We start from the raw sequence: 27,431 nt of genomic DNA, 5'->3' as shown, positions 1-27,431 counted from the left end.
GTTCAACCCACAACAAACATGCACCCATTATGAAGTATCAGCTATCGCTAACATATTATAAACATGGTAAAGACTGGGACTAGGTCAATCTTGCTCCGTATTTGAATCCCCAGTACTTAGTGCAGTGTCTGGTAGGTGGTGGGCCCTCAATAGTGATTTTTTTTCTTTTGAGACAGGGTCTTGCTCTGTTGCCCAGGCTGGAGTGTAGTGGCATAATCATGCCTCACTCCAGCGTCGACCCTCTGGGCTCAAGCAATCCTCCCACTTCAGCCTCCTGAGTACCCAGGACTACAGGCATGTGCCACTACACCTGGCTAATTTTTGTATTTTTTGTAGAGATTTTTTGTACAGTATTTCACCATGTTGTTTCCCAGGCTGGTCTACAACTCCTGGGCTCAAGTGATCCGCCCATCTTGGCCTCCCAAAGTGCTGGGATTACAGGCATGAGCCACCATGCCTGGCCAAGGTGTGTGTTTTTTGTTCCCCAGATAGCTGTCCTGAAATGAATCTTTGAGACTATGCAGACAAGCACCAAACTAGAACCAAATTTATTTATCAGAATTATTGAGTTGGATGAAACAGAAAATAAGCCAACAGAACACTTAAAAATACAAGTTTATTTTCTCCATATTGTTAAGTCTAATTATGATTTATTTCAAAATCATGAAAAGCAGAGCCTAGCATACCAAATGCTAGGTCAGATTTGCTCTGGAAACTTACTTTCTAGATTATTTTTTGGACTTACTTAAAAAATAATTAATTTCCATTAATATAGCACTAATAGCCTCCAAATTATACTGCAGAATTCCTATATGTAACCTTTTTTAAAAAAATAATTCATCACCTGAAAAAGATATATTTACTACAGTTAAGTTTTTAAGTCAAGAGTTTTCTCTGGGAATTGATATATTTTATCTATAATGTCTCCACTTCTCCATACTTTCATCAAAGTGTCACTGAAGCAGCTAAATGCAGTCCTGTGGGGCTAGGTCTACAACATCTGCTTAGGTTTATTTTAGTGGACATGGTTCCAGTCTAAGAGCAATGGGCCACTGTTCTAGGTCCTAATGTACAGCCATAGAGCCATAGAGATGAGGTATTTCGATTTGAACAGAAGGAACATTTTGACCCAGGCACTACATTTACCACTCATGCAGACGTGGTAGACCGCGTGTGCTAAACTGAACACCAAAGCCATCATTCAGACCCACACAGTGCTGGTCTCATGGACCCATGCAGTCACACAGAGCCTCATGCTCAGAAGGGCACTGTGCTTGGTGTGACAACTGCTGTTGCCATCTCGAATTTCTTAATAATTTTTGAATGATGGGACTGCATTTTCACTGTTCACTGGGCTCTGCAAATTATGTCGCCAGTCCTAGATATACATAAAAGTTGCTTTGGCCTGATTCATCTGACTTGTGATCTGTGTTTTCACCTGGCATTGAAGATAGAGCTGTGGGTAGTTCCCAGTAGCAGGATGATTCTAGTTCTAGAACATTTTCAAAGGTATAGAAGTTGTTCGTCATGTAATTCACTGCGAACAGTAAAGGAAGGAAGCCCACAAAGATGATTTTTATTTATCTATAAGTCTATAGAACTGAAATTATGCTCTTTGGAATACGGAAGAATCAAGCCCAACTGTGATATATATATATATATATACACACACACATACATATATATATATAAAACTGTGATATATATGTGTGATATATATATATTAGCATATATATGTTATATATATATTAGCATATATATGTTATATATATATATTAGCATAATGAAATGAAAGAACTGGTTCATTTGAAGAGGAAATATGTATGCACATGTGCCAATAAGCTAAATATAAATGTATTCCTCTCTAATCTTTTTTTCATCATCAATAAATTATTTCAGCAATTCAAATAAAAAGAATCTGTACAAGGTCTGAACTTGGCTATTGTTTATCAGAATAGTGAAAACATCCTCTTCTGAATTAGAAAGTACTCTTCCTGCCTTTCTTCAAAAGAATAGTAGGGAATAGTTGGTCCAGAAGTGCCACAAAATGTTTATCCTCCATTTATAGATAGGAATAAACATTTCATTATAGGGCATGGTCTTCTGTACAGGTGGGTAGAGTGTGATTTTAAAAGGACAGGTTGCCAAAGAAGAGGAGTTTTTTTCTAGATACCTGTGAGATGGGGAAAAGCTCAAAGGGCAAGGAAGAAGAATCATCTAGACCTTCAAAGGCCACGCAGGGCTTCCAACTCTGGCTGTGAATTAGAATCACCTGAAGAATCTAGAAAAATATTGATGTCTGGGTCTCATCCCACAGTAATTAAATTATAACCTGGGAATGGAGCGCAGGCAAGGGTGTTTTTATTTTTTATTTTATTTTTTTGAGACAGGGTCTCGCTCTGTTATCCAGGCTGGAGTGTAAGGACATGATCATGACTCTCTGCAGTTTCCACCTCCTGGGCTCAGGCAATCCTCCTGCCTCAGCCTCCTGAGTACCTGGGACTACAGGCACATACCACTATACCCAGCTAATTTTTTTTTTAAGAGATGGAGTCTCACTGTGTTGCCCAGGCTGATAAGAGTGTTTTTAAAAAGTGTCCCTGTTGATTCTTCTTTGCAGCCAGGCTTAGGAACCTTTGGGCTTTTGCACACATTAAAAAAAAAAAAAAAAAGAAAAGGTCTGGACTACCTCAAAGTCAAACAGGTATCTATTTTTAAAATTAAAAAATTAAGTATATATTTATATCTGATTATACTTAAACAGAGACACTGTTAACATAGTTTTTTTCTATGTAATGTATTAGCTACAGGTAATTACAAAATATTTTATAAATAATTTAATGGTCTCTCTAAGGTTAAACAATACCTCCAATAAATAACGAGATATTTCAGAGATGAAAATATTTTTAAAGTAAGATATTTCAATTATTTTCAGGAAATCTGAAGGATGTGTCAAAGTTTAAAAGTCCTTTAAATGGGAAATGGATAAGGCAAGTAGTGTTCTTCCTAACTTGGAATATTTTTAAGATATTAAATATCTTCTTCCATTAAGAAAAAGAAAAAACTGTTCAGGCCAAAGTTTAAAATTAAGGCATTTGGAAACTAATTCATATTTTCTAGAATGCCTCCTTTAATAAGATACTTGAAAAAAAAGTCACTAAACATCTTTACAAATAAGTACCTAAGATTCTAATAATCCTTGAGAAGTAATTATTTTTCAACTAATTTTTGAGTTATAGAGTAAAGGTGTTCTTGAAGATTTCACAAGTCTGTAAAGAGTTGTGGGAGCATCGCAATTGATGAAAAAGGGAGGCAGGGAAAAAGGAAGGGAAGAAATGTCAGGCATAAAAGAGGCCCTGTAGTTACTTCCTGCTGCCATGCTGGAGAAAGCTATACTAATCATACTAGATAACTCACTCTTGTGGACAGAGTTGACACAAAAAGTCTCATCTCTATTTTTTCATATTCATAACCCTGGAACAAGACCAGCAGAGGAAGGTCAAGGCACAACGGTTTAGATTTCTCCTGCTGTGTTTGTGTGTCTCAGTTATACATGACAAAAGAATTGAATTGCAAAAGACACTGAAAAGACTAACTCGCTTTCCTTGCTTTTAGCACACCACTAACACCTGCAGACACTAAGGAGATGTTTGGAAGCATCATTTAAGGAATGAGACAAAGGTTACAACGATTACATCTTTTTCTTTAAAGAGCTTGAGGAACACAAAGATAACCAAAATTGAGACTAAACCCAGATGAAAATAGATGTCATCAATTATTCCAAAGAATTTCCAGAAGCACTCAATAGTAAGATAGTCAAAATATCAGGGACAATAAGGAAGTCATTAGTCTGTTTAAACCGAGAATATTCTCCAATGCCACAGACAAATGAGAAAAAACCAAACCTGCAAATAATCCTAGCACTGGACATTGCTTAACCAAACAATCAGCAATGCCAACATCTTTTCTCCAGGGAAGAGTTCAGGTAGGAAAAGAGCTATACTTCTGAAATGCCAGCTTTCACAATGTCTATTGCATTTGAAATCCAAGTTCGATGATTGCTATGCTAATTTAAACCATAGAACACTAACTTGTTTTTGATTCTAGCCTAAAGTATTAGGCTGAATGTTTCTCTCCTTGTTTGATGCCAAGAACAAGATGTAGAAACCAATTAAACTGCACAGTCCATCCTTTGTCTCTGCAAACTTCGATCTGATCAAGAAAATACTTTTTAGCATCCTCCTCATTTTTCCCCACTGTGAGGGCATCCCGGATATATTCAATGTCTTCTTTGCTTGTTAACTGGGGCATTCCTGTCATCAGCATCATGGAGAACAGGATGATCAGTAGGTTTGTGTGATGACGAAGGGCTAGATAAGCCTTAACACAGATGTCCTGGATAAAGAAGAAGAAAATGCTGTTACTGTTGTTATGGTAACTAACAAGTAGGCTGAAGATTACAGGGATGTACTGAAATGTACATAGAGTTACCTGTCCATGAGAAGAAACCATCAAGGTCCCTGCCTCAGATGAAAAACTTGATGAGAAACTGTTTTTATAATCTCTTAAATACTTCCGTGTAGTTGCATATATCCAGGGAGTGCTCAAGGAAAACTAATTGATACAGACAAGTTTCAGCTTATTTCTTACTCTACCTTTTTAATTCAGTTTCTTTCCCAAGAGATTGAGGGTAGACATTTCTGTAATTTCTGAAGAGCAATGAGTCAGCTTTTGAACATCATACTGGAATCAATAAACTTTATGTAAGTGTAAATAATGTTTGCCAAGAACTAATGAAATCCAAAGCACTGATGGAAATGTGTTTGAGATTTAGTTTTCATCTTTATTTTATACTCTGTTCAAGTCTAAGAAAACAGATGCATTAGCTTTTCACTCTGATAATCAAAATTGTTAAATGAACTTTGAAATTTTAATACAAATTCTGAACACTGAGTGAGAGAGAGGGCTTTAAAAAATGCTATGGCTCATGGTCCCCCAAAAAGCTTTGGAGCAGGTGATACAGGTGAGCTAAGTCTGCTTATTAAGCAACAGGTATGGTTATGCCATTTAAATTGTTCCAAAGCATAGAAAAATGCAAGAGTCTCAATTTTACAACATGAGAATAATCCAACCTTAATACCATAACTTGACAAAGATAGTATATTAAAGAAAACTAAAGTTAGTGATTATATATATATTTCAAATAATAAATATTGAGCATAATGTTAAAAGATTAATACACCATAGCCAAATAAGGTTTATTCTAAAGCTGAGGGATTAATTCACCATAAGGTACTGCATTAACATCTATTTTTGATTTAAAAAATATATTACTTCATATGTCATTAAAATATGACAATGTGAAGAATTATTTGAAATTATAAAAATAATTCTAAATAATGAAATACCAGAAAAAGAAGTGAAGTATGAAATCAGAAAAGTGGGCCTGGTGCGGTGGCTCACACCTGTAATCCTAGCACTTTGGGAGGCCAAGGTGGGTGGATCACTTGAGGTTAGGAGTTCAAGACCAGCCTGGCCAACATGATGAAACCCCGTCTCTACTAAAAATACAAAAAAATTAGCTGGGTGTGGTGGCATGTGTCTGTAATCCCAGTTACTCAGGAGGCTGAGGCAAGAGAATTGCTTGAACCTGGGAGGTAGAGGTTGCAGTGAGCTGAGATCACTCCACTGCACTCCAAAGTAGGCAACAGAGTGAGACTCTGTCTCTAAATAAATAAATAAATAAATAAATAAAAAAAATAAAATCAGAAAAGTGAAGGAAAACTTATTATTTACAAATGACCTAATTGTCTTTAAAAAATCAAATATTACTGTAAGTAGTTTTTAATAAACTAGGTTTTTATAAAAATTAATAAATAGAATGCTGTAAATAGGATCCACAAGTTGGAAAGTAAAATGCAAAAACAGATGCTAAAATCAATGGTAACAACAATAACATGATTCCTAGGATGAACACATAAAACATGTAGAACCTATGCTTTTATAATTTTTATAATTTATAATTTTTATACTCTTAAAAAATTATAAAACTTTAATCTCTGAAGAGCAATGAGTCAGTTTTTGAACATCCCTCAGTGACAAGACTGCTTATAATGATATAAATTATTCTTAGATTAATCTATAAACATAAAATTTCAATACAAATTCTTATTGGGTGTTTAAACTCAGATATGGTTTAAAGTTCATCTGAAATAATTAGGGCCTGAGAGAACATTTTGAAAAAGTATAATAATGAAAAGTAGTACTTGCCAAACCAGATATTAAACCATTTTATAAAACTACATTATTAAAAACAGTGCGAACCAGTAAGTAGTCTTCTCCCAAAAAGACAAGGAATTTTGTGGAACAGAAGGGAAAGTTCAGAGACATACTTAAGTATATAAATATGATATATAATACAGGTGGCTTTTCAAATTGGTGGGGAAAAGATCTATTATTTGATAAATGGGACCAGGACAAGTGGCTCATCATTTGGGGGAGAAAATAAAATTCTACTCCATGTGATATACCAAAAATAAATTCCAGATGAATTAAATTTAAAAAGGGAAAACATTTAAATAATCATGGAGTGGGAAAGGACTTTATGAAGATGACTTCCATGGTGGACTCTATGAGGAAAAGATGGTGAGACTACAGGAACTTAAAACTTTTGAGAGAAAAAAAGCTATACATAATATTAAAAGTGGCTTAATGACAAAAGAAAATGTATTTGCGACATGACAGATCACTCTTTCAACCCCAGCCCCCTAATAGTTCTTAAAAATCAATAAGAAAGAGATAATTGGCCAGAAATACAGGCCAAAAACATAACAAAAATTCACACTGTAAGACATAAAAACAGATAAACCTACAAAAAAAATGCAACTTCATTAATATTAAAAAAAGTAACTTAAAATGAGATGGAAAATTTACCTAAAAACTGGACTTTTTTTTTTTTAGTCTTTTAAGGACAATACCCAATGTTCACATTTTATAAGCTGATGGTAGATAGGAATACATATAATGTTACCAGCAGGTAATTTGATTAACATGCATCAAAAGCTTTAAAGTGCTTATAAATGTTATATAACTTAATTGTGATGGTGGTTACATGACTGATGCATTTGTCAAAATTCACAGAACTGTACACCTAGAAAGGGTGATTTTACACCTCCAGCAAGCTGCAGCTGACCCAAGGAGAGGAGGCCAGTGTGTCTCCCGTGCATCCCACACACCCCCCGCATTGCTTGACACAAGACAGGAAACCCCTGGCTTGGGCCCACAGCACAGACTCTCCATCCTGGGCTGCTTGCACTGAGCCACTGCTGACCTGCATCTCTCTGGGGTGGAGTCCCCAGGTGACAAGCAAATGACCCTTGGCCACAACCAATACCAAAGTCCCTTCCTCTGCTGCCTCCAAGTTGGGAAAGGAACATAAACACTGAGATTACACAAGAGCTGCAGTGGGCATCCGAGGAGTGCCAAGTCATGATCTACAGACAGCACTCAAGGGGGAGAGAAACCCACACTTTCAGAGCATTGAGAGAGAACATGGCTGCAACTGGGAGTTAACATGGGGGAGCCACACAACCAAGCAAGAGTCTACCAACCGACCAATAAGCCTAAGTGCCACCTGCTGGATCATACCCCAAAGCTTCAACACCAAAAATACCTCACTAACATACCTCCCTCTGAAACCAGGGACAAGAAGTCAGCTTCAAATAAAGACCCTGCACAAAGCCTTGGCCTGGTGAAAACATCCAGAAAAGAATTCTGTTGACTGTTCTCAATCTACAACTGGTTAAAGGAGCACCCACATGCAGAGATGAGAAAGGACCAACACAAGAACTCTCGTGACTCAAATGGCCAAATTGTCATATGTCCTCCAAACAACCACACCAGTTCTCCAACAAGAGTTCTTAACCAGGCTGAACTGGCTGGAATGACAGACACAGAATTCAGAATATGGACAGGAACAAAGATCATTGAGATTCAGGAGGATGGCAAAACCCAATCCAAGGAAAATAAGAATCACAATAAAGTGATGCAGGAACTGAAGAATGAAATAGCTGGTATAAAAATGAACCTAATGGGTCTGACAGAGCTGAATAACACAATATAAGAATTTCACAATTTAATCACAAGTATTAATAGCAGAATAAGCCAAGCTGAGAAAAGAATCTCAGAACTTGAAGACTGGTTCTCTGAAATAAGACAGTCAGACAAAAATAAAGAAAAAAGAAAAAAAAGAAATGAAAAAAAAAACCACTGAGAAGTATGGGATTATGTAAAAAGGCCAAATCTACGAATCACTGGCATCCCTGAAAGGGAGGAGGATAAAGCAAACAACTTGGAAACACATTTCAGGACATCATCCATGAAAACTTTCCCAAGCTTGCTAAAGAAGCTGACAGTCAAATTCAGGAAATACAGAGAACTGCAAGATTCTACACAAGAAGATCATCCCCAAGATACATAATCATCAGATTTTCCAAGGTCGAAATGAAGGAAAGAATGTTAAAGGTAGCTAGAGAGAAAGGGCAGGTAACCTACAAGGGAACCCCATCAGGCTAACAGCGGACCTCTCCACTGAAACCCTACAAGCCAGAAGAGATTTGGGGCCTATATTCAACATTCTTAAAGAAAAAAATCTTCAACCAAGAATTTCATATCCAGACAAACTAAGCTTCCTAAGTGAAGGAGACTTAAGATCCTTTTCAGATAAGCAAATGTTGAGGGAATTCATTCCCACCAGACCTGCCTTACAAGAGACCTTGAAAGGAACACTAAATATAGAAAGGAAAGACTGCTATCAGCTAATACAAAACCACACTTAAACACACAGACCAGTGTCACTGTAAAGCAACCACACAAACAAGCTAACATAGTAACCGGCTAATAGCACAATGACAGGATCAAATCCATACATATCAATACTGACCTTGAATGTAAATGGGCAAAATGCCCCACTTAAAAGACAAAGTGGCAAGTTGAATAAAAAAGCAAGACCCAATGGTAATGCTGTCTTTAAGAGACCCATCTCATGCGTAATGACACTCATAGGCTCAAAATAAAGGGATGGAGGAAAATATACCAAGCAAATAGAAAACAGAAAAAAAGCAGGGGTTTGTCCTAATTTAAGACAAAACAGATTTCAAACTAACAAAGATCAAAAAAGACAAAGAATGGCATTACATAATGGTAATGGGTTCAATTCAACAAGAAGACTTAACTATCCTTAATATATATATAAAGTAGCCTAAATATATATATAATCCAAATAAACACAATTAAAAATGAAGAAGGGAATGTTATTACTGACCCCACAGAAATAAAAACAACCATCAGAAACTACTACAAATATGCACACAAACTAGAAAACCTAGAAGAGATGGATACATTCCTGGACACATACACCCTCCCAAGACTGAGCCAGGAAGAAACTGATTCCCTGAACAGACCAATAATGAGCTCCAAAATTGAATCAGTAATAAATAGCCTACCAACCAAAAAAAAGCCCAAGACCTGATCAATTCACAGCTGAATTCTACCAGATGTACAAAGAAGAGCTGGTACCCTTCCTATATAAGCTATTCTAAAAAATTGAGGAGGGACTCCTCCCCAACTCGTTCTATGAGAGCAGCATCATCTTGATACCAAAACCTGGCAGAAACACACAAAAAAGAAAACTTCAGGCCAATATCCTTGGTGAACATCAATACAAAAATCTTCAAATACTTGCAAACCAAATCCAGCAGCACATCAAAAAGCTAATCCACCATGATCAAGTAGGTTTCATCCCCAGGATGTAAGGTTGGTTCAACATACGCAAATCAATAAATGTGATTCTCACATACAAAGAACTAAAGACAAAAACCACATGATTATCTCCATAGACACAGAAAAGCCTTTCGATAAAATTCAACACCCTTTCATGTTAAAAACTCTCAATAAACTAGGTATTGAAGGAACATATCTCAAAATAATGAGAGCCATTTATGACAAACCCACAGCCAACATTATACTGAATGGGCAAAAGCTGGAAGCATTCCCCTTGAAAACTGGCACAAGACAAGGAACCCCTCTCTCACCACTTCTATTCAACATAGTATTGGAAGTCCTGGCCAGAGCAATCAGGCAAGAGGAAGAAATAAAGAACATCTAAATAGGAAGAAAGGAAGTCAAACTATCTTTGTTTGCAGATGACATGATTTTATATCTAGAAAACCCCATAGTCTCTGCCTAAAAGCTCCTCCAGCTGATAAACAACTTCAGCAAAGTTGTAGGATCCAAAATCAGTGTAAAAAATCACGCATTCCTATACACCAACAACAGCCAAACCAAGAGCCAAATCAGAAAGGCAATCCCGTTCACAATTGCCACAAAAAGAATAAAATACCTAGGGATATAGCCAACCAGGGAGGTGAAAGATCTCTACAATGAGAATTATAAAACACTGCTCTAAGAAATCAGAGAAGACACCAACAAATGGAAAAACATACCATGCTCATGGATAGGAAGAGTCAATATCATTAAAATGGCTATACTGCCCAAAGGAATTCAATGCTATTTCTATCAAATTACAAATGACATTCTTCACAGAACTAGAAAAAACTATTTTAAAATTCATATAGAACCAAAAAAGAGCCCAAATAGCCAAGGCAATCCTAAGCAAAAAGAACAAATCTGGAGGCATCATATTACCTGACTTTAAACTATATTACAAGGCTACAAAAACAGCATGGTAATGGTACAAAAACAGGCACAGAGACCAAAGGAGCAAAACAGAGAGCCCAGAAATAAGGCCACACATCTATGACTGTCTAATCTTTGACAAAGCTGTCAAAAACAAGCAACAAGGAAAAGACTCCCTATTTAACAAATGGTGCTGGGATAACTGGCTAGCCATATGCAGAAGATTGAAGCTGGACCCCTTCTTTATACCATATACAAACATCAACTCAAGTTGGATTAAAGACTTACATGTAAAACCCAAAACTATAAAAATCCTGGAAGACAACCTAGGCAATACCATGCTGGTTGTAGGAATGGGCAAAGATTTCATGACAAAGACACCAAAAGCAACTGCAACAAAAGGAAAAATTGACAAGTGGGATCTAATTAAACTTAAGAGCTTCTGCACAGCAAAATAAATTATCAAGAGAGTGAACAGACAACCTACAGAATGGGAGAAAATATTTACAAACTATGCATCTGACAAAGGTCTAATATCCAGCATCTATAAAGAACTTAAACAAATTTACAAGAGAAAAACAATCCCATTAAGAAGTGGGCAAAGGACTCAAACAGATACTTCTCAAAAGAAGACATACATGCAGCCAATAAGCATATGAAAAAAGCTTAACATCATTGATCATTAGAGAAATGCAAATCAAAAGCACAATGAGATACCATCTCCCACCACTCAGAATGGCTATTACTAAAAAGTCAAAAAGTAACAGATGCTGGCGAGGTTGTGGAGAAAAAGGAACACTTATACATTGTTGGTGGTAGTGTAAATTAGTTCAACCATTGTGGAAAGCAATGTGGCGATTCTTCAAAGAGCTAAAAGCATGACTACCATTTTGATCCAGAAATCCCATTACTGGGTATATACCCAGAGGAATAGAAATCATTCTACCATAAAAACGCATGTACAGAAATATTCACTGCAGCACTATTCACAATAGCAAAGACACAGAATCAACCTAAACGCCCATCAATGATAGGCTGATTAAAGAAAATGTGGTACATATACACCATGGAATACTATGCAGCCATAAAAAAGAATGAGATCATGTCTTTTGCGGGAACATGGATGGAGCTGGGGGCTATTATCTTTAGCAAACTAATGCAGAGACAGAAATCCAAATACTGCATGTTCTCTCTTATAAGTGGGAGCTAAATGATAAGAACTTATGAACACAAGGAAGGAAACAACAGACACTGGGATCTACTTGAGGGGAGAGAATGAGAGGAGGGAGAGGAGCAAAAAAGATAACTATTGGGTACTGGGCTTAATGCCTGGGTGACGAAATGATGTGTACAACAAACCCCTGTGACATGTGTTTACCTATGTAACAAACTTTCACATGTACCCCCAGCCAAAAATAAAAGAAAGGGTGATTTTTACTCTATGTAAAACATACCTCAATAAACCTGGCTTTAAAAACATCTATATCCTTTTACCCAGCAACTTCCATGCTAGGAATCTATCTTTAAAAATACTGAATAATTTTGCAGTGATTTATCTATAAGGATGTTCATTAGAACATGGTTTAAAATTGTGGAAACTTGAAAGCAATCTATTAATAATGTCCTACAATAGGGGACTGATAAAAAAAGATTCACAAAAAGTACTTAAAATTGCATGTCCTGGAACTACTAGAAAGATACTGTAGAAGGATATTTAATAAACATGTAAAAGTGTTTAAGAGGTAGGTATAAAACAATGCATCCCATTTTGGTAAATTAACACAAAATATTTATATAGAAAAAAGAATATAAATTTATAGGACAAAATATTAATAGTGAGTTTTCTTTTGCTTTTAGCTGATATTGTCTGTGACATTTGTGTGTGGTAGGGTAACTGCAATGATAATTGAGGTCAGGCTTGTGTCATTCTGTATGTCAAGGCTGGGCAGGGTACACATCATCCTAAGCAATACAAAACCCATGGAATATTCTGGCATTTTCTAAGTGAGACAATATACATAAAGCGCCCAGCATGGAGGCCGGTACATAGTGAAGGCTCAATAAACGTCAGTCCTCTCCCTTGCCTACCATCCCCTCTGCATTTCCTCCCTGTTCACCAAGAAGCGGGAGACTTGTGTGGGCTGTTGCTGCTGCTGCCCAGCCATCACTTGTCCCCTGGAAGTGGCCCCAGTGCATTAGTGCTCTTGCATTCTTAATGACTCCACTTATGTCCGGAAATTATTTTCTTTTGCTCATCCGTAGGACCCACTGAGGTCTCTCTCATTTCTTAGTAATTATACAGGCTAAGTGCAGACTTCACCCCAGGCAACAGCCTCATTAATTTGCCAACTTGCACAATTTTCACAAGGACATAGATGGGGACGCCTTTTGGTTTTGAATTAGAGTACATTCTGATTTTTAATTATTTTCTGTCCTTCCATACACTGGGGGATCCACATAAATCCCCTGCTGTGTGAGCCCACTGTGTGGTCAAACTCTTTTTAATAGAACATTTTCAAGGAGGGAAATTAACCTGAGGCCAAGTTATTATAACACCAATCCACTGGTGCTCAGTAAATACTTGTTAAGCAGTGATGCAGGAATTCACCTATCCCTGCTGTACCCAAGGAGAGGCGTTAAAGGAAATAACTGTCCTGCTTTTCTCGAAGGCTATTTCACTCACATAAAGAATTTCTGTTGATTCTAATTTATTCAGATAGTTCTAATTTTCACACACAAGGATCTCTTCTATGAGAAAGAAATTTCTTCCCCAGTTTAACTGCACGTCCCATGCTTGTCAAACACAGTGTCGAGATTCTGATGGGCTGTACACACTTAGAGACTTGGTGCAGCTTTAATCAGCCTTTGCTGAAAGGCAGTGTGCTGTGGTGGTTAACAACACAGATTCACATCAAGCTGAATGAATTCTAATTTTGGCTTTATTACTGGTAAACTATATATCACTGGAGAAGTCACTTAACCTCTTTTAAATATAGATTAAGAATAATAAGAATGATACCCATTTCATGTTGTTGTGGTGAGATTTAAGTGCTACATAAGTAGTTGGCTATGATTACTAATCAATACCACGAGGAGCTGCATTATTGAATACACATACTGTTCAACGCTAAGGGGCTCACTGTCCCTCTAGACCATCTGCCCACAAGGTCTCTTAGTAAAGGCCTAGGGGGTGAGGTAGGTTGGAGTTGGGGATAAGCCTCACTCCAACCAGTGTCAAAGGGAGGCTGTCATGGTGCTGGCCCACTGAGGTGGGCAGGATGGAAGCATACAGCAACACTGGCTTCCTGCAGGTGGTTCTCTCACCCTGGGGGGCACAGCCGAGCACCTGCCCTGCCCGCTCAGTCCCAGAAGTTTCATTTCTGCCTTTTGGACTCAGCCACAGGGTCTGTGGGAGTGTTCTGACACTACCTTGGCCTAGAGGCCTGTGGTTTCAGGGACTATGAGGATGTGGCCTGGGGAGCTCAGGGGAAAACACAGAACACAGAAGTTACTGGCTGTAATTTTCCCTTCTGCCAGGGCTGCCTCTCCTTGACCTCAAACATCCTCATTCTCTCCTTCTCAACTGACTGTTGAAGGATTTGTATTATTGAGAGAAGAAGAGTAAGGGAAAAATCTGACTTCGAGGACTTGGTTTAATGCACTTGTTAATGACTACAAATGTGGGGAACATTACATTATTATTAATGCCATTAGCTAGAACATTCTCCATTAGTAGCTAATAAATAGATTGAGCCTACGTAGTACATCTGCTCTCAATTTCATTGTTGATTCAAATGCCTTAATTATAGCATCTAGTACTAACAGAAAGAATTGTTTTTACAAAGCTACTGCCCTTAGAAGTCTTGGGAACAAAGGAATTCATTATCATTTCAGGGCCCAAACTTTTACTTGATTTGCTAACTGCCCCAACTATCAGTTCACTAAACTGAAAACAAACTACTTTTATATACAATCTACTAATTTATTAACCACTGATGAGCTGTGGCTGCTACAGACTGTCTGAGGTCACATGAAATACTTAACATCAAAATCCTCCATTTTCATCTAGAAATGAAGTGGAACCTCCACTTACTTTTCCTAAATAGTAATGTTGCCTCTGTCTGCTAGAGGAAGGAGACAATGGATAAAAATCATTCCAGTCAAAGGCAGAGAATTTTATTTTGTTATTTTGTTTTTTTAATAAAAATCAATGCATTGGCTAGCCAGTCTTTAGGAATTATTTTGGCAAAACAGAGAAGGTCACTGATTATTAGACCTAACAGTGCATGAGAGCACACTTTCTGGTAAATCCAAAAGAGGAGTGTGTCTGGTACTTGGCCATGCATTTGATGAGTTTGAATTAGGATTTTTATCTGTAAGTACTTGAAAAGTGATTCTCAGACTAGCTCTGTTTACCAGGAGAAGGGCTGTACTGTCATCTTCTCGAATATTTAGCTAGAAGCACATTAGAAACCTAAATGCTACAATAAGCTATTCTACTTTAGTCAATATTCTGATAGCGTGCACGTAGGGGTGTGTGTGTGTGTCTGTGTGTGTGTGTGTGATTTATCCTTCAGCCTTGTTCCAAAAAGGATTTAAGGTGGACTATTTGGAGATACAAAAGTCAAAATAGCATTAGTTAGAATTGGCTGAAAAAAGGAAAGGAAACAATCCACAATGGGTTGGGGAAGGAGGCTAATTTAAAACTGTACATCACAAGTCCTATATACAGTCATGTACTGCATAACAATGTTTTGGTCAACCATGGACTGCATCTATCATAGTTGTTTCATAAGATTATAATTCCATATTTTTACTGTTCCTTTTCCGTTCAGATGTGTTTAGATACACAAGTGCATAACATTGTGTCACAACTGCCTACAGTATTCAGTAAGTAACATGCTGTACAGGTTTGGAGCCTGGGAGCAATAGGCTATATCATATAGCCTAGGTGTGTGGAAGACTACCACCTAGGTTTGTGTAAGTTCACTCTGATGTTTACACAATGACGAAATTGCCTAATGATGCATTTCTCTGTATGTATCCCCACTGTTAAGCAATGCATGACAGTACTTGCTATAGGAAGTCTTCAAATATATCTCTAGCTAAAAGGACATAATCTGTTAACTGTAGTCAATGTTCAGAAAATTTAAAAGAAAACATCTCTATTTAGGAGAAGCACAGCTTTTCTAGAAACTGAGACCAGTAGAATTTTCACAAGAAGATCTTAATAGAGAGAGTATGTTTTGTAATATGGTAAACAATGTCCCTGACAATATTCTATGTTAGACAAAATGTTCTGAAAGAAACTAAATATTGAGAGAATGATGTCAATTAAAAGGTTATTATCTTTCCAGTTTTGGATTCGTATCTTTTCCAGAATAGTAATTTAAATTTGACAAGCTTAATAAAGTCCTAACAGTTTGACAAGCCGCACAAGTCTGCATATGGGGGAGATATCACACCAACATATTCAAACTCCTACAAATGGCTGAAATCAGACCCTTCTTTGAGGATATCTTCCAGTGCATAACATGGAGAGATAGTGAGTACTGAAAGTCTTCACACTGAGACAGGGGAGCCTGAGCCTGGCCTAGTCAGTGGGTCGGGGTGCAGATCCCAAGACGGAATCCTTTATCAGCTCAGTACATTATGGGTGACAGATGAACTGGTCATCTCCTGCTTGACCTATAATAGACCTTAATTATGGTTATTTGTGATTAATCGAATGAGCTCCAAATGACTTCTTTGCTTTGCTCTACCCTCCACCTCTCTAATCCAGCCTATGTACTGCTTCAAGTTGGACCCAAATTTCCTTTCTTGACTCAAATTCTACTACACACTTCCAGAAATACCACTTTCTATCCATACCAGGTAAATATACTTCTTGTTCCTAAATACTGATTGTATGTACTTTTCTAACTTCATGCACTTGCTCGTGCTGTTCTTTCTGTCTGGATGTTCCCTCCCTTCCCTGTATCTGCCTGGAAAAATGAAACTGAATTCATCCCTTAAGGCCTGAGAAAAACACATGCTTCTCTGAATAGCCCTTTTCTATCCTCTAGGGCAGGATTAATTGCTCCCTCTGCAAACCACTGTGGACACTCTTAGCACAAGGTATTTCTTGGCACAAAGTTGTGTAAGTAGCTTTCTTGCCATGTTCTGGGGCCATGCTCTATTGTCTCACCTATGCCCAATGCAGTGTCTGATACACTACAGATAATCTGCATATATAAGATGGATGAATGCTTAATGTTCAGAAGCCAAGTTCAATATTGGACAAGATTCACTACTTTAAAATCAGGATGAATTAGGGAACAACTGTATTTGAAAGGGGCCAAACTGGGAAAATATCTTGCCTTGCCAAAGGCAGTACCTGATCCTTCTTTATGCCTGGCACGGTGCCTAAACTGTAGTATGTATTTAGTCAGTGTGCGTTGAATTAGTGTCCTATTTTGGATATGGTGAATAAGGCCTGGTAACTATAACAGGCTAGAGCAGGAGGCTGAGAAAATCCAGCCTAGCAGGTTATAAGTATAGACAAGGATGAGGGTTATCACACAAAGGAAGGGGAGGTAGAGAATAGTGACCGGAAATGATGCTGAGATGGCTGCAGCCCTTGGAAGAATGTCAGATTACAAGGTCTCTGTGGTCCCTGTGGCTGGGCTTGGGAGAATACTCAAGTCTCCAGCAAGAAAAATGACAGGAGGGATTAGGGCCCTAGTTCTAGCAGCTGGGTAACAAACAGAGAGACCTCTGGTGGAGAAACTGAAACAGAAGCAGTTAAAACAATGTGGGACCCAAGAGTAGAGCTAGACCACAGAAGAGATGGACTCTGGTTGAATAAAGGTTCTTAAAAACCTCCTGAGTCAGGACCCTGCATAGAGACTGGGCATGTGGCTGAGCCTCCAGGTTGGAGGCTTGGGTATACGCTGGCATGGGGATAAGACTGCGGAACTGGAAACAGGGTGGGCCTGATAAAACTGGCAAGAAAATTTCCACAGTCATCCTAGATTAAAATAACACAACGAATGGGCTCCAGACTTTTCTCCTATAAAATGCTTCTTAAGAGTGACATCTAGGGGCAAGTGCCTTTTAAAGACAGTCCTCAAACGACCTGCTTTGCATAGATTTGTCTGTAGATGTGTTATTTGGCTCCCCTGATGACTTCAGATTTGCTTGGTGCCTACTGTGTGCACAGAGCATCTCCAAAATGCTTGTTTATAAAAGAACGAGTTGTTCCTGCCCTTTATCCACTGTCCTGTATTGAATGTACACTATGTGTATATACTCCATGCCCTGTTCTCTTGGCAAAAGGTACAGCTCTGACTGGAAAGAAATATGTAAGATTTATGTCAATAAGGAAATCTCTACAAAAATGTGAATATGTACCATATTACACTCACATATTTGTATTATTTAATGAAACATTAGATTTCACAGTTGGATTTAGTTCCTCATCCAATGTACGCATGTTAACCTGCCTCCTGAAGGCTTATTACCTTCCATGTGATGATGGTCTGTCAATCTGGGCCTGAGTTATTGTGAAACTCACAGAATACAATGTATGATATGGAAGGAAGACACCCCAGAGGTTATCCAGTTTGATCCAGCTCCTCCCCTACAAGGTGCTGTCCCTCCACTACTCCACTCAGCAAACACCTACTGAGTGCTTACCGTGGCTCAGCCCCTTGTGAGGGACACAGGACACATGTGGCCCTGCTGCACAGAGCTCACAGTTGGGATAGGGAAAGACAAACAGAAAACCAGTACAAATAAATGTATTTTGTGATACATGCAATGAAGGACCTGGCAGGGGACTGTGGCAAAGGGTAACAGGAGGGAACCTGATTTAGAAAACTGCTCTGCAGAATGACATTTATGCTGAGACCACAGGGCAGCACAGAGCATTCTGGGAAGAAAGCAGTGGGTAGCTGGGATGGGGGAAGATGTGGAGGAAGGCCACAGTGATGAGGGAGCAGATGAGGGGAACAGTGTGGCATGAGGCTGGAGGGACAGCCTCACACAGGGCCTAGCAGGCCAAGCCTGGATATTTAGATTTTATTCAGAATGACAAACTACCATCTCATGGATGTTAATCAGCCTTACTCAATTTGAAGAGACGAACATATCTATTTCTTAAGTTCAGTTTTTAAGCAAATGCTGATTAATTTACAATCTTCTAGAAACTAACATGTTGACAGTATTATCTTTGGAAAGCAGGATAATGAATTTTTATGTCTTTTGGTATTTTCAATATTTTGCTGGCTCTTGATTTTAATAAACAACATTTACTAGTTTTAAAATTTTAAAAAACAACACATTCGGGGCTGGGCACGCTGGCTCACGCCTGTAGTCCCAGCACTTTGGGAGGCTGAGGCAGCCGGATCACGAGGTCAGGAGATTGAGACCATCCTGGTTAACACGGTGAAACCCCGTCTCTACTAAAAATATGAAAAATTAGCTGGATGTGGTGGCAGGCGCCTGTAGTCCCAGCTACTTGGAAGGCTGAGGCAGGAGAGTGGTGTGAACCCAGGAGGCAGAGGTTGCAGTGAGCCGAGATCACACCACTGCATTCCAGCCTGGGCAACAGAGAGAGACTCCGTCTCAAACAAAACAAAACAACGAGAACAATAAAAAACACATTCTGACATTTAAAAAACTTAGAAGCCAAATTTCATTTGCCAATGATATAAATACATTTGTTTATTATATATATTCTATAACTGTTCAGTGAAATTTAAAATAACATGGTCTAGAATAAATTACCAATGAGTAAAAACACTTTTCTTTTTTATTCCTCCCATAAGGGAGATTTTTCTGTGGAGAATTTATCAAAATTGTCACCATTGAAATGTGTTTGTTTAGCACCTGTTTGTAGGATGCTGCTCCAATGGCTAATAGATACTCCTGGGTTCAAACGCTGGGCCTTGGTTTTGTGTTTCTCTATCTAATTATAGCTTGTTCCTGAACTCTCCCCTATTCTAGAAGTAAGTGTGACTATGGTCCTAGGCTAAAGTAGCTCCCTTGGGAAGCAGAGAGGTGGGATGCAGTAGAGCTTATTTCAGTTCCTCTTACTTCCATGCTCAAGCCACTAGTTAGGTATGTTTTTCTTTGTGGACCAGGCTCACCCCACCCTTAACAAAAAAGTGGGTCAATTTTTCTCCATTGTTCCTAACAGGTTATTCAAATACGCAGCATGTATTAGTTAACCTTATCAATTCAAAATAAGTGATTCACTGGAAATGAGGACACCTTTAATTCAAAATGCAAATGTATACAACATTTCCCAGCTTCCCTAAAAATGGCAGCCTTTATTATACAAGATTCTGAGACATTATTTGGAGAATTTAGAGATGTGGTCCCTGATCTTGAAGAACTTCAATTCTAAAAGAAAACATAAAACCAAGAAACAGAAAATCTTTTTGGAAGGCTTAGCAGTATGTAAAAGAAAAAAAAATTACCACAAGGTCATAGTCAAATGATGAAAAACTCTGCTGTCCATCTTTGTCATGCTGTAAACTTTGGAAATTCTGCATATATGTATGTTAAAGCTGTGGTGTTCAGGTTTTTTTCCTGTTGTGAAGGATGAGGGAACACAGGGAGAGAGTAAGCAGAGAGGGGTTGGGGAAGGGGAAGCAGAACAGGTGTAAGTGGAGTTGGAACCCCACTTACTCTGTAAGCAGAGCATGCTACTTTGTTTTATATATTACCTGAGATCTCATTTCAAAAATGGTTTCTCAACTTAAAAGTTTTCAAAGTTTGAAGACACACTGTGATGACTACAACAATGGCGGCTACCATTTATTGATTTTCTGCTATGATCTAGGCACTGGGCTAAGCATTCTGAATATTTCATTTAAGTAATCCCTAGAAAAAGCACAGGAAGTAGGTCTTATTATTCCCACTTTACAGATGAAGAAACTGATGTTATGAAAGGATGAATAATAATCATATATGTGGTTATTAAGTCGCAGGTCCAGCATTCAAACTCAAGTTTCTCCGCTACAAAGCCCATCCTTTCAACCACCTTGTTATGCTGTATGTGTGCTTAAGGCTCAACGTGCACAGATTCACAGGCATTTAACATGTATGCTTAACACGTATGTTTAACAGTACTCCAAAACACGGACACACACAAGTACAACAAATGTACAAAAGTGTGTTTTTAGTGGAGCACACTGCCTAAACGTTGCTTTAGTAAAAAAGGTTTTAATGGCTTGAGAAACAAACTTTGGTCACTAAGGATGGAGAAATACTCCAGACTGAGAGGACAGACTGCACAAAGCCTCACCGCAAAGGTTTGTTGCTTTGGGTGGAAGATGCCGATAGTGGGAAGAAACCTCTCCTTGGCCTCCCTATACTGCAAACCTTTTTGTGAAAGCATATTTTGAAACTTAAAAATAGCAACAACAGCAAAAAAAGAGAAGTACTGCTGAGATCTGACGGGGTGATATGGGCACCAGGGGGTCTATGGGAATGTTGTCAGCAACAGGACAGATGTGCAGTCATTCTAGGAAAAATTACTGGCAAAAAGGAAGATAACATATATACAAAAAGAAGGAGAGTCGGCTGGGCACAGTGGCTCACGCCTGTAATCCTAGCACTTTGGGAGGCCGAGGCAGGCGGATCACAAGGTCGAGAGATAGAGACCATCCTGGCCAACATGGTGAAACCCTGTCTCTACTAAAAATACAAAAATTAGCCAGGCATGGTGGCACGGACGTGTAGTCCCAGCTACTCTGGAGGCTGAGGCAGGAGAATTGCTTGAACCTGGGAGGTGGAGGCTGCAGTGAGCTGAGATCATGCCACTGTACTCTAGCCTGGGTGACAGGGAAGACTCCGTCTCAAAAAAAAAAAAAAAAAAAAAAAAAAGGAGAGTCGTCAATGAGGCCAAATTCCTTGCGTATGTCTGATCTTTAAGTTGCAGTTCATTGCTGCTCTGTTTGTCCGAAGCAAACAGACAAACAGATGAACCCCGCTGACAGGAGAGAAGACATGAGTGTTTTCCCCCCTTTAAATGGTGAAATTCTTCCAGGGCTTTCTTTTTTTTTGGAACCATTTCTCTGTTCCAGGAAGTTGTCAAAACATGTGATTTTTAACTTTAAAGAAAAACAGGACTGAAATGTGTCAAGTCCCTGGAAATAGCCTGAAACTCAATTGAGTTTATGCAGAAAAACACACACTAAAAAATCACAAGACCATCTGGCCACAGAGATCTCAGTTTCTCTGACAACACCACTGGAACTGTGGGAGGGTAAGTCTTGTAATCACCAAATTGAAAATCAGTCAGGAGAACAAACAAGAACAGACAGGTTTCAAAACAATGTATCCTACTTCCTGTTCTACTGAACTTCAAGGGTCATGTCGTCTCCCAAGGGTAACCTTGGACTCAAGAAGAGACTCAGGGAAAAGAGAGCAAGTCTGAGATGTGCAATGCAAAGCAAATCATGTTTAAGATGTACTAAGGGAGGTGGCTATTTAAAGGGCACCCAAGGCAAATGTACATAAAAGTAATTATTCCTTGTCTTTGTTTTGTGTTTGTATTGCTATAACATAGGTATATTACAGTAGTAGTTACAACTGTTATGAATTATGTTCATTAAGTTATTAATTTTGCCAGTATTTAATTCTCTTTGGTATTTGAAGTATTTGATAGTCAAAACTGGATACAGACCAGGAAGGAATGGAAAGCCAGTAGAATCTACGCCAAGCTCATCCAACCCGAATGTAGCCCAGGATGGCTTTTAATGTGGCCCAACACAAATTCATAAACTTTCTTAAAACACTGTGAGGCTTTTTTGTGATTTTTTTTTTTAGATCATCAGCTATCTAGTGTATTTTATGTGTTGCCCAAGACAATTCTTCCAATGTGGCCCAGGGAAGCCAAAAGATTGGACTCCCCTGATCTACACACTCTCAGGGAGATGGACAGACTCATGTAGGAGCTTGTTTACAGGTAAGCAGGAAAAGCTAGAGGTCTTAGTAGAACTTGTGGTCAAACCAACAAGATTTCAAATGAAATATTGGGTATTCTGCCTTATAAAAATGAGATAAGCCCAGTTGGCACATCGAGAATTCACCTGTAGCAAAAACCAAGAGAAGCTCACAACCTTTTGTGAGTTCTGAAAAATATGTGTAAAATTTGAGTCTTCTAGCTAAGGTCTTGAATAGACAAATATCTAGTGGCTAACCTGCTCAGCAGACACCCTTCCTGAAAGCCCTCTTTAGTGCCAGCATCATCCTGGTGTTCCACATTTGCCCATCCCACTGCTTATGAAATATTTCTACTTCTGTTTGGTTTTAGGTGGGAGGATTACTGAGAAGTGTCATTTTGCACCTGGGAAAGGAATGAATGGAAGTGAAAGGGAGGAGGTAGGGTTGGCCATGCCAGAAGAGGGTAGGGGTAGAGGCTGGACTGGCCTCCAAGCTGAGTGAGAGGTGAAGGCTGCGGAGTGCTGCAGGAACCATCTGCTTCGGTGCTATTCTCAGCAGGCGATGAAGGAGGTGACTTACCTGAAATTTCTGGAAGTGTGGGCTTGTCTTCTTTCCAGAAGTTCCCATCACAAAGAGGAAGTCAGGGGTTAGCACAAATGGCACTCTCTCTTTATTAATGCCCAGGAAACTTTTGTAATTCCCAAGAATGTGCCCGAAGTCAATATGAAATAGGTTTCCTTAAGAGAAGAAAGTATCTGACATCATTACAGTGGCACAGCACTTTGTTCCTTAAAATATTTCTTTGAGTTGCCTAAAAATGAGCTATCTTGTGTTGAAAGCATTTTTTACAATGTTTGTCAGTTTGTGATATTTTTCGTCTTAGCAGGTGTGTGAAAGTCGTAGCCACAAAACATTCTTTGAACCAAGTATGTTTTTGATATCCTTCTGGTGTTCTTTAGATGACAGCCAGATGCCACTATAAGATTCTCATCTCAAAATTATTCTTAGAAACATAAATCAAACTCTCTGGCCACTATGTCATCATTATCCCTAAGACTCTCTTATGCTCTTTACGCAACTCAGGATAGACTGATGTTTCACTCTGCTTGGGGGCAGGGGTTATTCACCTTTTCCTTTTGAGTAGCCATCTACGGCCATACCATCCTGAATGTATCTAAGCTCATCTGATCTCAGAAACTTGGGCAGCATGATAGAAGCAAATCATTTTGAGTCTCCTTTGGGTCAATTTCTACCACTACTACTATCACCACCACAATAATCATCATCTTATTTGTTTAGCCCTTTATCATTTCTATTGTCCATAAATATATTATCTCTTTTAATTCTCATAGGAAGTAAGCAATCTGTCCCCATCTGATGCCTTTTCCAGACTCTACTCTTAAAATGGCCCAAATTCATAGAGAAAAATCTCATGCTTTGGTGGCCACTACTGACTACTGTCAGAGTGGACAGTGAACCACTAAAGTGGAGTGGGTTAGGGAGATTTAAGGATATCTATGAGTTCTTTCTGTTCTTTCTCTGCAACATCTGTCACTGGTGATCACTCCCACCTTCGCCAGCTTCTGGGATATGACCCTCTCCTAGTTTTCCAGCGGTCCCTCTAACTTTGCCTTCTTAAGACTCATTTCCTGCCTCTTCCTCCTTCACTCACACCTTAGTCCTCAAGTGAGGTGGTCTCTCTAGAGCAGAGGTCCCCAACCCCTGGGCCATGGACAGGTCCATGGCCTGTTAGGAACTGGGCCACACAGCAGGAGGTGAGCGATGGGCAAGTGAGCAACTTCATCTGTATTTACAGCTGCTCCCCATTGCCTGAATTACTGCCTGAGCTCCACCTCCTGTCAGATCAGTTGCAGCATTAGATTCTCATAGGAACACAAACCCTATTGTGAACTGTGCACGAGAAAGATCTAGACTGTGCACCCCTTATGAGAATCTAATGCCTGATGATCTGAGGTGGAGCTGAGGTGGTGATGCTAGCACTGGGCAGTGGCTGTAAATACAGATTAACATTAGCAGAGAGGTTTCACTGCACAGAGACCATAATAAATCAATTCCTTACATATCAAAACCCTCTCAGTGAGTGGCAAGTGAAAATTGAGCTGCATCTGGTGGCAGGCTTTATAGTGGCAAGTGAGTTGAAAAAAAAGTGTGCAATAAACGTAATGCTCTTGAATGATCCTGAAACCATCCTTGCTCCCCCACCCCTGTCCGTGGAAAAGGTGTCTTCCAAGAAGCCGGTCCTTGGTGCCAAAGAGGTTGGGGGCCACTGCTCTAGAGTAACTGAAGCACCAGTGTCCCTACACAATGACTTCTAAATATGTGCTCCAGTCTTAAACTCCATTTAAAGACTACTCCGTTCTGAAAGGAGGGAGGCATGGGGAGTTAGTGTTTAATGGGTACAGAGTTTCAGCTGGGGAAGATGGAAAAATTCTGGGGATGAATGGTGATGATGGTTGTACAACAAGGTGAACATATGTAATGCCACTGAACTGAACACTTACAGTTAATTAGAGTTAAAATAGTAAATGTTATGTTATATATATTTTACCACAATAAAAGTTTATTCTGCACTAAATAAACTCACCTGTCTCGGTGATCATAATATTGTCATTGTGTCTGTCGCCTATTCCAAGAACAAAGGTTGCCACACAGTAGCCTGCACAGGAATAAACAAATCTCTCCACTGCTGCCTGAAACTAATTAAAATGCATTTGAATATTAGTTGTCTTCTAACTACAAAAAGCATCATGAATCTACAAATGACTTCTAAAAAGAGAATATTCTGGAAACCATTTTCAGAGAGCAAGTTAGTTGTGCCTGATTTCATTAGCATTATATCTATGAATTGCCAACTTTCTCATTGCTCTGCTTATATTTTAGGTGAAGATTCAGTGAATCACAATGGCATGAGGAAGAAACAAGAGTCAAAGGGCAACAGTAATTTAATCAAAGGGTTCACTTCCTCTCCATGCATCACTTGCCAACAACTATATAGAACCCATGGTAATTTCTCCTTCATTTGTGAACATGTTTTGCTTGTGACCACTAAGAGTATGCTTGGGTTCACAGATCCCCATGTATAACAGATTAATAAGTGCTACTCATTATATTTCCTCCCCAAAAGGCTGCTAACCATGCAAATGAGAAGTGCTAATCCTGTGCAGCAGAACTTTAAACGACAGCCAAACAGCTAAAACACAGCTTGTGAAGGATTGAGCATATGCACTTCCAAGGAATGGTGGAAGTGACATTTTCAGCATCCATGATTTACCATTTAGATTAGAGTTCAGCAGTAAATTATAAATTACTTTGTTGTGTATGTTGTATTTCCCAGGTACGTAAGAGTTTATACATGGTAACTAAATATCTTGGCTGAACAACAAAAATAGATAGCCATAAAAAGTGCTAACAGATTATTTTACAGAACCAAATTTTAAGCAAAGTATGCCTGATAATCAAAAGAGAAGCAAATGCTCATGGAGTCCTGAACTGAGTGCCTCTGTTTCACACAGATATGCTGTCACCACGGGAGGGTACTTAAAACCTCCATTATTTCACAAGTAAAAAACTTCACTAATATGTCAGGAGGCAAGACACTGGCAGATTCTCTGAAAACTTGAAGCCACTACTGCTATATAAATGACAACTTGTAAGGAGCCATTAGACTGGGAAAAAGCATGAGCTCACCTTTTCTTCAGTAGGGGATTTTTCTTTGAGCCAGTGATTCAGGACTTCATCTTTAAATGCTCCCGTGTTGCCCACTGTGCTTTGCTGAATTTTGGCAATTGTCGTGGCGTCTTTCACAATCTCGATCATTCCTACAGAAGGATGCACAGAGTCTGATGGAGATTGGGGGCCAGTACCTGGCCCAGAGGAGGAAAGGCTATGTCTTTGTTGAGTGAAGGGCAGAGGGTTTTTTTTTTTTTTTTTTTTGACCAGAGAGCTATTTTCCAGGTCTATGCTATTGGTTTTCTTATGAGGAATAGAAAGGAAAGAAGGAGGATATGGAAGTTGTGTGGGATATGTTTTCAATATCCCAGAATGACAAGAGGAAAGGGCTGGTTTTGAATAGTAATAAATAAAAGCATTTATATGCTGAGCATATCCTTCCTCAGATGGCAATCTGTGCCTTTTCCTTTTTTAAATTACAGGGTTAAATGTAAATGGTTTTGTAGAGTTCTCAGATCAGAAACTTGAATAAACATATGTTTGACTGAAACTAATGCTGAATGTCTATAAAAATACCTGATAGTAGAGTGTGTAATAGCTTTGATAATGTGAATTCTGGAATACTAAAATAAGTGACAGATCTTTCCATCTATTTTTAAATGTTTTTTGTGAGAGAAAAGTTTAATGTGTAATGAAATGAGTTAAAGTTTAGAGATGGAGAAGGAAAGAGGAGGGAACAAGTTCTTACTAAAATCATTTCCATGTATAGTCACAGGGATTTGAATCATGCATTCATGTATTTTCAATATATCCACATTAAATTGAGAGTCACATTCACCAGCATAGAAATGTTTTCTTCCTTTTTATACAGATTAAGATTATGATTTTTCAGTTATTAAATGTCTACACTGAAGGAATTATAATCTTTTCAAACGAGCTGAGAGGTCTATTCATCTCCTGAGGTAACTACATACCTATTTTGTCACCAGTTGAAATGCAACCATATGGCAGGAGGCATAGATCCAAAGATTCAGTCTCCCAAATAGACTCCATGATTCGTAGAATCTGGGCATCGAAACACAGAAATGTTTATATTATATATATATTAA

The 27,431-nt window shown here is 38.7% G+C and overlaps 1 protein-coding gene across 10 annotated transcripts in view; it reads right to left on the bottom strand.

The window, feature by feature from the left end:
• Positions 524 to 27,431, bottom strand: part of PIK3CG (phosphatidylinositol-4,5-bisphosphate 3-kinase catalytic subunit gamma) — a 43,699-nt gene continuing 16,791 nt past the window's right edge. For 3 of the 10 annotated variants that reach the window (NM_001282426.2, NM_001282427.2, XM_005250443.4), the window contains exons 7-11: positions 27,297 to 27,387; positions 26,341 to 26,471; positions 25,238 to 25,349; positions 23,212 to 23,369; positions 524 to 4,395 (exon numbers count right to left, since the gene is read on the bottom strand). In NM_001282426.2, the coding sequence (NP_001269355.1) occupies positions 4,117 to 4,395; positions 23,212 to 23,369; positions 25,238 to 25,349; positions 26,341 to 26,471; positions 27,297 to 27,387 (771 nt within the window). In that variant the 3' untranslated portion in view covers positions 524 to 4,116. Of the gene's footprint in view, positions 4,396 to 19,935; positions 20,272 to 23,211; positions 23,370 to 25,237; positions 25,350 to 26,340; positions 26,472 to 26,898; positions 26,972 to 27,288; positions 27,388 to 27,431 lie in introns of those variants that run through there. The other 7 variants (XM_011516316.2, XM_047420479.1, XM_011516317.2 and 4 more) reach the window with 5 other exon arrangements.

This window comes from Homo sapiens, chromosome 7, assembly GCF_000001405.40.
Source record: "Homo sapiens chromosome 7, GRCh38.p14 Primary Assembly".
Lineage (NCBI taxonomy): Eukaryota > Metazoa > Chordata > Mammalia > Primates > Hominidae > Homo > Homo sapiens.
Note: the sequence above shows the minus strand (reverse complement) of the source record. Positions and strands in the feature narration are given on the sequence as shown.